Source organism: Homo sapiens, chromosome X (genome assembly GCF_000001405.40).
Source record: "Homo sapiens chromosome X, GRCh38.p14 Primary Assembly".
In the NCBI taxonomy this organism is placed as follows: domain Eukaryota; kingdom Metazoa; phylum Chordata; class Mammalia; order Primates; family Hominidae; genus Homo; species Homo sapiens.
Window position 1 is genome coordinate 137,404,933 of NC_000023.11, and position 16,358 is coordinate 137,421,290.

The 16,358-nt window shown below is 38.0% G+C and overlaps 1 annotated feature.

Moving 5' to 3' along the window:
• Positions 203 to 703: an enhancer, noted in NCBI's record as "H3K4me1 hESC enhancer chrX:136487294-136487794 (GRCh37/hg19 assembly coordinates)". NCBI's record gives its function as "activates a minimal SCP1, AML or CMV promoter by ChIP-STARR-seq in naive H9 embryonic stem cells {active_cell/tissue: H9 hESC(naive)}" and the evidence as "EXISTENCE:reporter gene assay evidence [ECO:0000049][PMID:30033119]".

Below are 16,358 nucleotides of genomic sequence, written 5' to 3' on the forward strand. Positions count from 1 at the left end.
AACCCCGTCTCTACTAAAAATACAAAAAGTAGCTGTGCATGGTGGCACGCGCCAGTAGTTCCAGCTACTCGGGAGGCTGCAGCAGGAGAATCCCTTGAACCCGGGAGGTGAAGGTTGCAGTGAGCCGAGATCGCGCCACTGCACTCCAGCCTGGGCGACAGAGCAAGACTCCGTCTCAAACAAAACGAAACAAAACAAAAGAACCATGTCTTCTTGCCATCTCACTGGAAATAATTTTACACTTTGAAAATAATGCTACATATTTCAGTTAACCAAGGGCACTAATTGGAAACCCAAGATAATTTTCGAAACGTCTTTAAATGCCAAATGCATTTTATTATATTGTGATTCACCTTGACAGAGTTTGTACAAGAAAGAATGGGGGGGAGGGCGAGAAACATCAGAAAAATGCAGCATTTTAGATCTATTTAGTGTGTGTGTGTGTGTGTGTGTGTGTGTGTGTGTGTGTGTGTGGTGGAGAGAAGATGCACAAAAATCTCTGTTAATTAAGTAGTGGCTGAGCCCAGGAAGTTCCAGAAATGAAGGTAGGCATGGGGGTAGTTGACTCTGGATGATGGAGGAATCAGTTCTTCTGTGGGGCAAGGAGCCCCCACCGGTTCTTGGCCCGTGCCCAGCTGCCCAGCCTCGGCCTGCGCCTTTCACCAACCGCTGTTGAGTTCCTTTGCGAGTCCTTGTTTACCCCTTCAAATCGCTCCAGTTTGACCAGGGCGCAACCCGCCCGGCCAGGTGGGCATGTGCTGTGGAGGGCCCGTGACTTCGGGTGACAGGCTCAGGCGAGTCCAAGGCGCCTTGTCACTTTCACAGGTGTGCGTCCTTCCAAACCAAGCGGGGTAGGATGTAGGGGAACTCACTGGTAAGCCAAGCTGGCCATAACTGAGACACCCGCCCCTACATCCCTTGCAGTCAAATGAGGGCAGCAGGCTGGACCTACCATAAAGAGGGAGGGACACTGGCAGCGCGGCCTGGAGAACTGGTCTGGCAGTGGCAGGTCCAAGGGCGGCCACTGGGGCCGTTTACTGGGGCGCCACCGCGGCTCTGGTGGCCCTCACCCTTGGTGTCCAGGGCAGCCTCTCACAGCCCCTCCTCCTGTGCCATCAACCCAACGATTCACTAGAGCTTCAGAATGCCGGTTTTGGAGATTAAGAGAAGTTCCTCAGATCCCAGACAGGCAGCCTGATCTCTCTGCATCTCAGGTTACTTATTTGTAAAATGAAGGCAATAATGGAGCCTACTTTGAGGCTGCTTTAAGATTCAAGAAAGCAATATGTGTGTTTGGCACATAGATGTTAATTATTAGCATTATCAGTATTATATGTATATGACTCTAGTTACAGCAGAGCTAGACAACTGTTGGGTCAATAGCCCAATGGAATCTGAAATACACTATTTTGAAAACGATGAGACATATTTCACCTTTAGAAAAAGTACATAAAGCCCATGCATGGTTCACACCAGTGCTTCTCAAACTTTAAAACACACAGGAATCACCCAGGGATCTACTGAAATGCAAGTCTGGGGTAAAGCCTGTCATTCTGCATTTCTAACAAACTCCCAAGTGATACCAATGCTTCTGGTGACAAGGGTGCAAATATAATATAAATCAAACATCCACGTAGTCACCATCCACCTTAACAGAAATCATAGTGTCATATCAGAGAATCCATTGCCAAATCCAAGGTTCTGAATATCTGCCTCAAGTTTTTTCTGAGTTTATGGTTTAGCCCTCATCTTTTGAGTCAATCATTATCATTTTGAGTTAATTTTGTATATGATGTGAGTTAGGAATCAAAATTCTTTCTTGTACTTGTGGATATCCAGTTGTCCTAGAACTATTTGTTGAAGAGGTTGCTCTTTCCCCATGGAATGAACTTGGAATCCGTGTGGAAAATCAATTGGCCATAGAGGTAAGGGGTTATTTCTGGACTCTCAATTCTGCCATATTAGCCTATCCTTACACCAGCATCATACTTAAAAAAAAAAATTCTTTAGCTTTGAAGTAAGTTTTGAAATCAGGAAGTGTGAGACCTCCAACTTCTTTCTTTTTCAAGATTGTTTTGGCTACTTGGGATCCCTTGCAGTTATATATAAATTTGAAGCTCAGCTTCTCCATTGCTTTAAAGGTGTTAAAAAAAAGAAGGTGTTCGAATATTTGACAAGGATTATGTTCAATCTATAGGCTAGTTTGAGTTGTACTGACATCTTAACAATATTAAGTTTTCCTACCCATGAACATTGGATGTCTTTCCATTTATGTAGAGCTTCTAAAATTTCCTTTAGCAATGTTTTGTGGTTTTCTGTATACAAGTATTTTATCTCCTTATTTAAATTTATTCATACGTATTTTATTTTTTTACATACTATTGTAAATTAAATTGCTTTCTTAACTTCCTTTTCAGATTGTTCATTGCAGGTGTACAAAAACACAACTGATTTGTGTGTTGATGTCATACCATGCAACTTTGCTGAATTTTTTCATCAGCTCTAGTAGCTTTCCTATGAATTGTTTGGAATTTTCTAGATTTTGTATCATTTCATCTGCAAATAAAGATACATTTACTTCTTTCTTTCCAGTTTCAATATATTTTATTATTTATCTTCATTGTCTAATTACTGGGGCTAGAACTTTCAGTATAATGAGGAATAGCAGTGGTGAAAGTGGGCATCCTTGTTATATTCCTAATTTTAGGGGGAAAGTTTTCAATCCTTCACTATCGAGTATGATGTTAGCTGTGGGCTTTTTTGTTTGTTTTTTTATAAATGCCATTCATCTTGATGAGAAAGCTCCCTTTTATGCAGTTTTCTGAGTGTTCTTATCATGAAAGGGTATGGGATTTTGTCAAATGCCTGTTCTGCTTGAATTAAGTTAATCCTATGGGTTTTTTTTTTCCATTCCATTAGTGTGATGTGTTACATTGATTGATTTTATCATGTTGAACCACACTTGCATTGTTGGGATAAATCCCACATGGTTGTGTTGTATAATATTTTTAATGTGCTGTTAGGTTCATTTTGCTATATTACGTTGAGGATTTTTGTATCTCTATTCATAAGGGATATTTGTCTGTAATTTTGTTGTTGTTGTTGGGATATTTATCTGGCTTTGGTGTCAAGGTAATGTTGGCCTCATAGGATTAGTTAGGAAGTGTTCTCTCCTCTTCTATTTTTTGAAAGAATTTAATAAGGCTTGGAGTTAATAATTTTTAAAATGTTTGGAAGAATTTACCAGTGAAGCCATCTGGTCCTGGGCTTTTTATGGTTGGCAGGTTTTTGAATGCTGTTTCGATCTCTTTATGTGTTATAGTCTGTTGAGATTTTCTGTATCTTCTTGTGTCAGTTCAGATAATTTGTGTGTTTCTAGAAAATTTTCCGTTTTATTTAGTTTATCTAATTTTGGGGGATACAAATATTTATATTATTCTCTTATAATCCCTTGTGTTTCTGTAAGGTTGGCAGGAATGTTTCCACTTTCATTTCTGATTTTAATTATTTGTGCATTCTGTCCTTTTGTCTTTGTCAATGTAGTCAAAAGTTTGTCAATTGTGGGCTGGACACAGTGGCTCACGCCTGTAATCCCAGCACTTTGGGAGACTGAGGCAGATGGATCACGAGGTCAGGAGATTGAGACCATCCCGGCTAACACGGTGAAACCCCATCTCTACTAATACAAAAAATTGGCTGGGCGTGGTGGCGGGCGCCTGTAGTCCCAGCTACTCAGGAGGCTGAGGCAGGAGAATGGTGTGAACCCAGGAGGCAGAGCTTGCAGTGAGCTGAGATCACACCACTGCACTCCAGCCTGGGCAATAAAGAGAGACTCCGTCTCAAAAAAAAAAAACAAGTTTGTCAATTGTGTTGATCTTTTCATAAAGCCAACTTCTGGTTTCCTTGATTCTCTCTATTGCTTTTCTCTTCCCTATTTTATTATCTCTAGTCTGATCTTTATTGTTCCCATCCTTCTACCAGTTTTGGGTATAGTTTACTGTTTTTAGTTGTTCAAGATGTAAAGTTAGATTATTGATTTGAGACCTTTCTTCTTTTTTAATGTAGGTGTTTGTGCCATAAATTTCCCTCTGAGCACTGCTTTCACTTTCCCATAAGTTTTAGTATGCTGTGTTTTCATATTTATTTGTTTCTAGGTAATTTCTTTCTTCTTCTTTCTTTTTTTTTTTTTTTTTTTTTGACAGGGTGTTGCTCTGTCACCTAGGCTGGAGTGCAGTGGCAAAATCACAGTTCAGGGCAGCCTTGACCTCCTTGGTCTCAAGTGATGCTTCCAATTCAGCCTCCCTAGTACTGGGGACTACAGGTGTGTGCCACCATGACCTGCTAATTTTTGTATTTTATGTGGAGAGGGGGTTTTGCCATGTTGCCCAGGCTGATCTCCAACTCCTGTGCTCAAGTGAACTACCCACCTGGGCCTCTTAAAGGGCTGGGATTACAGGCATGAGCCACCATAATTTCTTTTGCAATTTCTTCTTCGACCATTTTTTAGAGAGTGGGTTGTTTAATCACGACATATTTGTGAAGTTCTAGTTTTTCCTTCTGTCTTTGATTTACAGCCTCCTTCCATTGTGGCTGGAAAATATACTTTGAATTATTTCAATCTTTCAAAATTTGTTGAGACTTGTTTTGTGGCATAATATATGGTCTAGTTTTCCATGTGCACTTGAGAAGAATGTATTCTGCTGTTCAGTAGATAGTTCTATATAATTCCATTAGTTCTTATTGGTTTATAGTGTTGTTCAAGTCCTCTATCTTCTTATTTCCTATGCCACATTTTAGCTACCCATTCTACTACTGCTGGACAATTATATTGGTCATAGTATTTTGCTATTATAAACAAAGCTTTATTAAAATGTCTCCTTGTGCACATGTTTCTCATACCTAGGAGTGGAATTGCTATGTGTAGGGTATGCACATGTTCAATTGAACTAGCCAATGCCTATTTTCCAAAGTGGCTATATCAATTTACATTCCCACCCTCAGGGTATAGTGAGAGTTCTCAGTACTCCACAGCTTGACAATGGTTGGTATTATCAGACTTTTTAGTTTTTGTCAACCTGGTGGTTGTGTTATGATGTCTTATTGTGGATGCAATTTTTATTTCCTTGACTATAGTAAGTTATATTCACCACTTTGTCCTTCTTTTGTTTCCTTTTGTTTCTCTCATGTTCCCATTCTTTCCCCTCCAACCATTGCCATGATCCTCTCTCTCCCATGCAATTCAAAGAGAATCACACCGGTGATTAAAAGTACATGTTTGGAATCAGGTTTGGTTTCTAGTCCTGCACTGTCACTTTGTAACTGTGTGATGTCTGGCAAGGTACTTAATAGTACCTAGCCTAATCACTTAATAGATGCTCACTATTATTATACAGCTTAACTTTAGACTCAGACAAACTGACATTCAAATTTCAGCTTCGCTTCCAACATTTTATTTAACAAACTTTTTAAAAACATTCTATTTTGAAGTAATTGTAGATTCACAGGAAGTTATAAAAAATGTACAGGAAGAGCCTGTATTCCCTTCATCCAGTTTCTCCCAATGTTTTGTATCTTATGTAATTATAGTACAATATCAAAACCAGAAGCTGACACTGAATGATGTATATATATATTTCATTTACGATGTGTAGATTCATAGAAGCATGACCACAATTAAGGCACAGAGCTATTCCATTACCACAAAGGCCTCCCTCCTGCTACTACTTCATAACCACACCCATATCATTTCTCCCACCATCCCTAGCACCTGGCAACCACTAATCCATTCCCCATGTCTATAATTTTATTATTTCAAGAATGTTTTATGAATTGAATCATATAGTATGTGCCCTTTTGAGATTACCTTTTTTGCACTCAGCATAATTCCCTGGAGATACATTCAAGTTGCTGCTTGAATCAATAGTTCATTCCTTTTAATAGTTCAGTAATTCCATGTGATGGATGTACCACAGCTTCTTTAACCATATAGCCATCTAAGGTCATAGTTATCTCCAGTTTGGAGCTATTATAAATACAGCATCTATGAACTTCTGTGTACAAATTTGTACGATAACAAGTTTTCACTGGCAAGTACAATATCTGAGTCATATGGTAAGCCCACTTAAATTTTAAAAGGAACTGCCAAGTGATTATCCAGAGTAGTTGTACGATTTTACATTCCCACACATAATGTATGAGTGATCTAGTTTCTCAGCATCCTCATCAGCATTTGTTGTTGCCACAAGTTTTTATTTTAGCCCTCTTGATTTGCGTGTATTGATATCTCATTGTGGTTTTAATTTGAATTTCCCTAATGGCTAATGATGTTGAATGCCTTTTCATGCACTTTATTTGCCATCAGCATGTCTTCTTTAGTCAGGTATCCGTTCAGATATTTTGCCTATTTTTTAATTGGGTTGTTTTCTCATTGTTGGGCTTTATAAGTTTTTTATGCAGTCTAGGTACCAGTCCTTTTCCACTATCAGGTTTGCAAAGATTTTCTCCCACTATGTAGCTTGTCTTTTTTTGTTCTTAATAGAATATTTAATGTAGCAAAAGTGTTTTATTTTTATGAGGTCAAAAATATCAAACTTTTCAGTTAGGGATCATACTTTTAGTGTTAAGTCTAAAAACTCTTCACCTAGCCCTAGGTCATAATGATTTTTTTATTACAAAAAAAAAGTTTTTATAGGTGCTAGCTCTTTAAATCTCCTGGAACTCAGCCAGAGGTGGAAGGGCTTGCAACAATGTGGAATGAATAAGATCTAGTATTTTGTAGCACAATAGGGTGACTATAGTTAGCAATAATTCATCGTATTTTAAAAAATGATTAAATGAATCTCCACAATCCAGCTGTCTAATTTCAGAATCCAAGTGCTCAATCACCACTTTATACTAACTTTGAGCAATTTATATTACTTCTTGGTTACTGCATTTCTTCATATGTGAAATAGCGATGATTAATTCTTACTCATTGGGAAGGTTAAATGAAATAATTCATGTGCCTGGTTCATGGTAAAAATGATTGATGAATGTAAGCCATGGTAGTTACTGTAGCCTTGCTATCAACTCTCAGGGCTGAAGAGGTCTGTGGTTTATAATCAAGTTTACAGACTTCTGGAAATAAGATGAGCTTTTTTGGCTAAGCCACCTGTGAAATGGGTGACTTTATTCTAATTTAAGACGGTACAGCATAAATGGTTAGAGACAGCGAGAAATTAGAGAGCCCTCACTCGGGCAGTGAGGCTTTATGTAATATTTATATCCAGTATAGAATCTCCAGGACTGGAAAGCACCTTAGAGATCCCAGGATATACATATAAAAGATGTAAGATATTTAATGAGAAGTTTAATATCATATGCATTTATTAAGTTCTCTTTTGTGCAAGGCAGGGTTTATAAGAAAAAAAAATCAGATCTTTTCTCTCCCAGTCTTCACACAAGTAGTTGTTCTTTTGGTAGGGATTGGAAGAGGTGTGCAGCAGGCTAGGTTTTTTGTCTATAGCTACATTTTTTTTTTTTTTTCTGATTTGTTTTCAGGTGTGGATCAATTGTTACCTTTTTAAATTCAGGAAGCAAGATGACTGAGCAAAACAACTTTCAGTGCTTTTAGCGAATCCCAAGTGGGTGTTCAATGTTGCTAGAGGGGATTAACAGGCATACCGAGTGAGAAGTATTTCAGTCAAAGTACACAACTGGGCACTCAGAGTATAGCAGGGAAAAAAAGAAAAGCATAATGTGAATAGAAATCCTTTTTTCCCCCGCCAAATATGGTGGCCACTCAGACAGCAGTTCATATAACTGGGTTTCTGCGATGCTGTTTCTATCACAGCTGAGAGCAGGTTTTTGGACCTTTTGGTTTCCATCCTTTTTCAACAGTGCAGCTTTTCTTCTGTTTTATGCTACCACCACCTGCTGTCCTATTCCTACCAAACAGAATCTCTTCTCTTTTCCAGAAAGAACTAATCAGACTGCAAGCCATGATAGGGACATCTTTCAAGAAGTTTAAGCAATGACACAACTTTGGAAACCTTAATTTTAAAGCCACAGGCTTTTAAAAATAGAAATGTCTTGTTTTTAAATGCCTGTAGGCAAAGTATCTTCATTTCTAGGCATGTAATAATAAAGCATGGGATACACGATTTTCACCATAGCAAGAGGAAACAATTGTATGGACAAACATTTTATTTATTTTTATTTAACAACCACTTATCTAGCATTTATTATGTACTAGGCAGGATTTTAAATGCTCTACTAGAATTAAGTCGTTTGAATCCTCATATCAACCCTATGAGGTAAGTTCTATTATTATTTCCATTTTAACAATGAGAAAACCAAGGCACAAAGAGGTCAAGTGACATGCTCGAGGTCACTGTGGTGGATTATAATATTGTTAAAAATATTAGCTACTCCTCCCTGTGGGAGGATTATACATCCCTGCCCTGTTGACATCAGCCTTGGCTGTGTGACTTATGCCCCTCCCTGTGGGAAGAGTCCTCTTCCCCTCCCCATTTGCATCCAGCTCAGCCATGTAATTTGCTTTGTCCTATGACATATGAGCAGAAGTAAAATGTTCTGAACAAAGGCCCTGAGAGTCAGCTCAGGGTTCACCACATTCCTTCTCCATCCAGGAGACCAACAGTGTTCGTGAGAGGAGCTGTTCCTTCACGTTGGATCCTAGAGTGAAGACAGATGAAGAAGAATTTTAGTTGACCCAGATAGTACATGACTGATAATTAAATTTTTTGTGGTGTAAACCACTAAAATCCTTTATTATTTGTTCCTGTGTTTGTCATCTTTGGCAACATAACAACCAACTACCAGATTTTAGTGGCATGCAGTAATAAACACTATTTATTGCTTTCAAGTTGGAAGATAATAAAGAAGCTCTGCTCCAGGTGTCTCATTTTAGGGCCCAGGATGAAGGGCCAACAGCTATCAGTGGTGTGTTCTTCTCATGCAATGGCAAAACTGTAAGAGGGAAAGCTCAACTGCCCAAGTATATTCCAAACATCTACTGATATAATATCCTCTAACATCCCATTGGATAAAGCAAGTCACATGACCAGGTCCAACGTCAAGAGGTGAAAAAGTATAAGCTGCTCACCATAATGCAATGGCAACGGAGTGGATGTATAATAATATTATTGGTGTAATAAAGAATTGACATCAACTACTGAACCTATCACAGTTACTTCCTTATAACCTAGGTAAGATGACAGTGTCAGTAGCTGGAATTCAAATCCAGGCAGTTTGGCTTTATATGGTTTTATGTACAAATTTTTCAAGATATAACTGCTATAACATAAAATTCACTATTTTGAAATACAGTTCAGTGGTTTTTACTATACTTACAGAACTGTGCAATTATCCTCTCTATTTAATAGCAGAACATTTTAATAGTCCCCTCGAAGAAACACCATACCTATTAGCAGTCCCTCCCCATTGTCTCCTACTTCCAGCCCCTTGCAACCTCTAATCTGCTTTCTGTATTTATGGATTATCCTTTTTTTTGACAATTTACGTAAATAAAATAATACATGGCCTTTTGTGTCAGGATTTTTTCATCTAGCATAATGTTTCCAAGGTTCACCGATGTAGCATGTATCAGCACTTCATTTGCTTTATTGGGCAAATAATATTCCATTGTATGTAGATACTACATTTTATTTGTTCATTCATTAGTTGGATGGACTTCTGGGTTATTTCCACATCTGTTTCAATTCTCTTAGGTATGTACCTAAGAGTAGAATTACTGGGTCATATGGTAGGTTATCTGATGTGTTGGCATACAATTGTTCATACTATTCCCTTATAATTATTTTTTATTTCATAAGGCTAGTAGTAATATATCCTATTTAATTCCTGATGTTAGGAATTTGAGTCTTTTCTCTTTTTTTCTTGGTCAATACTGCTAAAGGTTTGTCAGTTTTGTTGGTCTTTTCAAAGAACCAAATTTTTGTTTCATTGATTTTCTCTATTGTTTTTCTATTCTTTATTTCATATATTTCTACTCTCTTCTTTATTATTGCCTTCCTTATGCTTGCCTTGGGTTTAGTTTGCTCTTATTTCTAGTTTCTTAAAGTTTAGGTTACGGATTTAAGACTTTTTTATTGTTACGTTGATCATTATTAGGTTATTGATTTTAGATTCTTTTTGTAAATATATGTGGCTGGGCACGGTGGCTCACTCCTGTAATCCCAGCACTTTGGGAGGTCGAGGCAGGTGGATTGCCCGAGGTCCGGAGTTCGAAACCAGCCTGGCCAACATAGTGAAACCCTGTCTCTACTAAAAATACAAAAAATTAGCTGGGCGTGGTGGCGCATGCCTGTAATTCCAGCTACTCGGGAGGCTGAGGCAGGAGAATTGCTTGAGCCTGGGAGGCGGAGGTTGCAGTGAGCTGAGATGGTGCTATTGCACTCCAACCTGGGCAACAAGAGTGAAACTCCATCTCAAAAAAAAAAAGTAAATATATGTGTTATGATTATAACTACATCCTATAAATTTGCGTATGTTGTTTTCTCATTCATCTGAAAGTACTTTCCCATTTCCTTTGTAATTTCATCTTTGACCCTGTATTAGTCTGCTCTCACACTTCTATGAAGAAATACCTGAGGCTGGGAGCAGTGGCTCACACCTGTAATCCCAGCACTTTGGGAGGCCAAGGCAGGCAGATCACCTGAGGAAGGGAGTTCCAGACCAGTCTGGCCAATATGGCAAAACCCCATCTCCACTAAAAATACAAAAATTAGCTGGGCGTGGTGGCAGCTGCCTGTAATCCCAGCTACTCAGGAGGTTGTATCAGGAGAATTTCTTGAACCCACAAGGCAGAAGTTGCAGTGAGCTGAGATCGCACCACTGCATTTAAATTAAATCGCCTAACAATGCATTTCTCAAATCTGTATTTAAGCAATGTGTGACTGTATATATTTCTAGATCTCACTGTTTTTGGGGGTATTCACATTTCTTTCATGTGATGCCTCCATGTACATAATGTATTTGTATACCTTTTCTCCTATTGATCTGTCTCACATCAATTTAATTTGTAGCCCATCCAAAGAACCTAAAAGGGTGGAGATAAACTATTTTTCCCTCTCCTACAATAGATTGATCAGGGATTAAAAACAAAAAAAGAAGACACAAATTACCAATGGTAGGAATGATATAGGAGACACTATTACAAATAGTGTCCTGGAAGCCAAGTGGAGGAAGTAAATTAAGGTAGAAAAAAGTGGTCAAGCCTGTCAAATGCTGCTGATAAGTCAAGCAACATGATGATTCAAAAATCCCACTAATAGAATTAACTTGTGACCTTGATAAGAGCAGTTTTGGTGGTGGGGCTGGGGAGGGACAAAAGCCTCAGTGAATCAGGTACAAAACAGAATAAGAGGAGAAGAATTTGAGTCCTTGACTACAGGCAACTCTTTTAAGAATTTTGCTGGAGAAGGAAGTGGAGAAGTGGCGCAGTATCTAAAAGCAGAAGTAGGGTAGGGGAAAGAGTGTATTTTTTAAGATGGGAGAAACAACAACACGATTGTATGCTAATGAGAATGATAGAGAGAGAAAATTTGACGATATAGAAGGAAGAGGGGAGAATTGTTAGGGCCATGTCTCTGAGTAGGCAAGGAGAATAGAATCTATTGCACATGAGGAGACATTGTCCTCAGCCAAAAGTGTGGATGGCTCTTTCAGAACAACTGGAGAGAAGGCCAAGTATAGTGGTACAGAAGCTGCAGGTAGGTGTGTACATAAGGCACTAGGAACTTGTTGACAATCTCTTCTGTTTACTTCCATTGTCTCAAGAAAATAACAAACAATGTCATCAGGTGAGAGTAAAAATGGAAGAGGGGGTACTGGAGATTTGATGAGAGAGAGAAAGATGTCTAAAGTTCCTTTCAGTTTCAACATTCTGTGATCTTCAACCACAGGATAAAATACAGAGAAATGTTCACGTTTTTCCTCCTTGGAGGAAAGAGCAAGTTCTTTCTATAGAACTTGTTCTTATTTCTATCCTTCCCCCTTCCTCCCTTAAAAAAATCCCTCAGTTTTGAAGCTCATGTAATCAGACTAAACCCCTCCCCACCCCTCTTGTTCCTGTTGTTCACAGACCCCCATGTTTTGCTGAAATAAATTGAGCATCATTCTATAGCTAAATGCAAACACCGTAGAGCAGGTATTAAATCAATTTGTTTCCGTTGCAATCAAATAGGCCCCAGATCAGTGAAAAGAGGCAGGCAGAAGAAAGAAATAATATTGTGTTGTAATTGTTGTCAATATGCAAAAGTCACACATCTTACTCCATATTTCCAGGGTTTTAAAGGACAGTATCCCCATACAACAGAGTGAAAGCAGAGACACAGGATAGCAAAGGATGAGGAACAAAAAGGAATTGTTCTTTTCACACAGGAAGTTCTCTATTAAGAAATTTAAAAATATATTATAAGGTATTATTGGAATAATTTACCTAAAGTTATAAAACACTATTTAGTGAAAAACGCATCAATCATGTGAAGCTAATATTGCTTTTATTGCTTTATTTTAAAATTTTTCTAATATTCCTAGGACAATTATAGTTGTTGCTTGTATCCTTTCTACCATTTAAATGCATAAATAAGGTTAAGGATCAAGCACTCTTTGCAAACATTTTAAATATATGAATTAAAAATGTAATGATGTAGCCAGGCATGGTGGCTCACGCCTATAATCCCAGCACTTTGGGAGGCTGAGGTTGGCGGATCGCTTGAGTCCAGGAGTTCAAGACCAGCCTGGCCAACATGGCAAAAGCCCTCTCTACTAAAAATACAAAAATTAGCCAGGTGTGGTGGGCACAGACCTGTAATCCCGCTACTGGGTGGGGGGAGGGGTGGGGTGGTGCTGAATCAGGAGGATCGCTTGAGCCTGAGAGGTCAAGATCAAGCCACCGCACTTCAGCCTGGGTGATGGAGTGGGACCTTGTCTCAGAAAAGAAAGAAAGGAAAGAAAGAAAGGAAATAAAGAAAGAAGGGAAAGAAAGAAAGAAAGGACGAAAGAAAGAAGGAAGGAAGGAAGGGAGGTAGAAAGAAAGAGAGAGAGAAAGAAAGAAAAAGAAAGAAAGAGAAAAAATATTTTTAATGTAATGTGAACAACAAAAAAAGAGGAGGAAAAAGGAGAAAGAAAGAGGAGGAAGCAGAAAAAGACAACGAAGATGAAAGGGCTATGCTAAGGGATTGCCTCTGCTTTAGAGAAAGAACTCAAGTGCACAATGGGGTAGTAATGTTGCAAAATGGACTTCTGGAGTAGATTTGCTTGCTTTCTTTTATAAGCATATAGTTTCTGTTTACACTGTCAAAGCTTTTTGAAGAATATGATACTACTTCTAGCTTGTAAATTCCTTGAGGGCACAGGCCGTGTCTTATAGATCTTTGTATCTCACATAGCATCTAGCCATGGTGGAGGTGCCCAATAAATATCTGTAGAAGGAATGACTGCAGAAGTTGAAGCATATTAAATATTTTTAAAAGGAATACACAATGTAGTTTAATAAAATGTAAAATGCATCTTTCCAAATATTATTTTAGGTGAATTGTGAATCCACATATTTCAAAGTAAATTTAATTTATATTTTGCCAAGTCATTTTTATTTATTTATATATTAACTTTTTAATTTTTTAATATGCATTGAAAATTTTATGGCTCATTAGAACTGTTATTTCTAGGTTTCCCTAACTTTTTATTTTGAAAAATTTAACAGAATATAGCCTTCATCTACATTCATTTGTTGCTAATACTTGGCCACATTTATTTTCTATAACTTTCAAAGTAAAAACAAAAACAAATTCTTTTAGAGCCACTTCAAAAATGCAAATAATGTTGAATTTTTTTTGTAGGAATCAGATAGGGCATTTTGTCAACTCTGATGATGTCAAACTTCTAACATTTCTAAGATTTTAAGACTTTTATAAAAGAGATTGACAGATCTCTTTTAGTTAACAATTTTAAATCAACCTGAAAAAAGTGTAATTATAATAGTTCCTTTTAATATTCACATACAGCATAGATATATTTTTAATTTAAACAAGAATGCTTTGTTATAATTCTATGAATAATAGACATATTAGTCTTTTATTTATTTTCTATTTTTGAAGATAAATATTTGATTTATAATAATATCTGGCACAAAAGCATTCCATGTTCTTTTTATTTTACCTATATTATAGAAGTGAGTTAAATTTATACATCTAGACTTGAGTATGACATTTCTACTCTGCATGTCAAGGTTGAATTCTAGGCTAGGTAATAAACATTTGAAACCACAGCAAATATACCCCGGGAATTAGCAAAACATTTGAGCTAGTTTCCTGCAATGCAGTTGTCTTGGCTCACAATACATTTCTAGTTTTTCTTTCAGTAACATAAGACTAAAATTTGGACATGTGCAATTTGTCCCCATTGAATTTTGGTGCTCCAGTTTTTCTGTGCAAATTAAAATAACTGATCATTAAGTGTCATATCAGGTTTAAGGAATAACAATATTTCTTTAGTTCTTCCACAGTTCATCAAGTATTTTCACTAACATTACCTCATTTTTAATTCACTATATTCCTGTGAAGTCAGTAGTAGTGGGATCCTCATTTTATAGACAAGGAAACCAGATCACAGAGAGTTTAAGTGATTTTCCCTATACATACTGCCATAAAGTGGAGGAAGATCTAGATCTAATTCCAAAGTCAGTGCTTTATCCATATCTTGTCATGCCTAATTACTAAATTATAAAGGGCTGGACATAAATCTGATAGCCTTTTGGAATTGCTCAACTGATAAAATAGGCCTCATGTTCTGAGACAGCAGTAGAGTGGGCAAGGAAACACTTTCAATAAGCTAAAGATGTAGAGGGATCCAGAACAAATCAAAGAATTAGATGATTTTCAGAAGGGCAGATTCAGAAAAGTGAACATTCTTCACGTATGCTAAATGCTACCTTGAGGAAAAGGAAGCATATTTATTATTGCTTCCAGGCCAGAACTAAAACGAATGGGTGAAAATTCATAGTAATAATGATCAATTTTAATAGACATGATGTGCTGGGTACTTAATTAGCACTTTACATGTGTTCTTTCATTTAACGATGAAAAAGAGTATAACCATTTTACAGATGAGGAAACTGAAGCTTCAAGTGGTTCAGTAAATTGTCTAAGGTCATACAGATAATCAGTGGTGGTGCAGGGATTTGAATATGTGTCTGACTCCAGAGCCTGTGACCCCAATCTCCATGCTGTGCTTTTTATTCTTTAGGCCATACTGCCTATACATGGGTAATGGAGTTACCTGAAGGAATTATCCCAGAATGCTTTGAGGGTGAATGGAAGACTGTCTCAAGGGTGTTAAACACTGGTGTTTGTCATGCAACCTAGCTCTGAACCAGGCATTTGTTCAAATTAAACACTGGAATTGAATGGGGAGAACCTGGGTATTCTGAGCATTCTGAAAAATAGCATTGGCATTTGTCCTGGGAAGGAACAATTGAAAGGAAGGAAGAATTCAAAGGCTGAACAGTTCCTAGAAGTCAGAAAGACAAGATGGCAGCCAGAGTCCACATGAGTAAAGGGCAAGAAAGAACCTAGGTACCACCATCCATCTGGTTGCTCAAATCCACACCTATCAGTAATCTTTGATTTGTTACTCTTTTTCTTTTTTTTCCACCTAACCTCCCTCACCTGGTTTACTAAGAGGGTCCTGCCAACTCTACCTCCCACATATTTACTGAATCCCTTCATTTCTCTCCACTGTCATCATCCTAGTCCAGTTCTTCCTTATCTCCCACCTGGATGACTGCAATAACCACTAACTGGTCTTGCCGACTCTACCCTTGACCCTTACAGTCTATTCTCAACAAGAAGCCAGAGTGAGCTTGTGAAAATGTGAACAAAATCATGTCATGTCTCTGCTAAAAATAGTTTAGGGGCTACTCACTGCTCATAGGATAAAGAAAAACTCCTTCCCAGGCCTAAAAAGTCCTCACATGGATTGGCCTCCATCTGCCTCCCCAGGCTCCTGTTGCCCCACACTTCTCTTTACTCTCTCCAAGCCCCAGGCGGTGCAGTGTAGTGCTAAGAGCCTAGATTCTGGAGCCAGACTGCCTGGACTTGAATTCTGGCTTGACCACTTAGTAGCTCTGTGACCTTGGGCAACTTACTTAAGATTCCTGTACCTCAATGTCCCCTATTAATAAAATAGAATAATAATAGTACCTAGCTCATAGATACCAACTCAATTAAGTGAATTTGTATATGGCAAGTTCTTCAAATAGTGCTTGGAATATAGTGAGCATTGTTATTATAATGCCCAGCTCAGCCCTGCCTCAGGGCACTTCCACTTGCTGT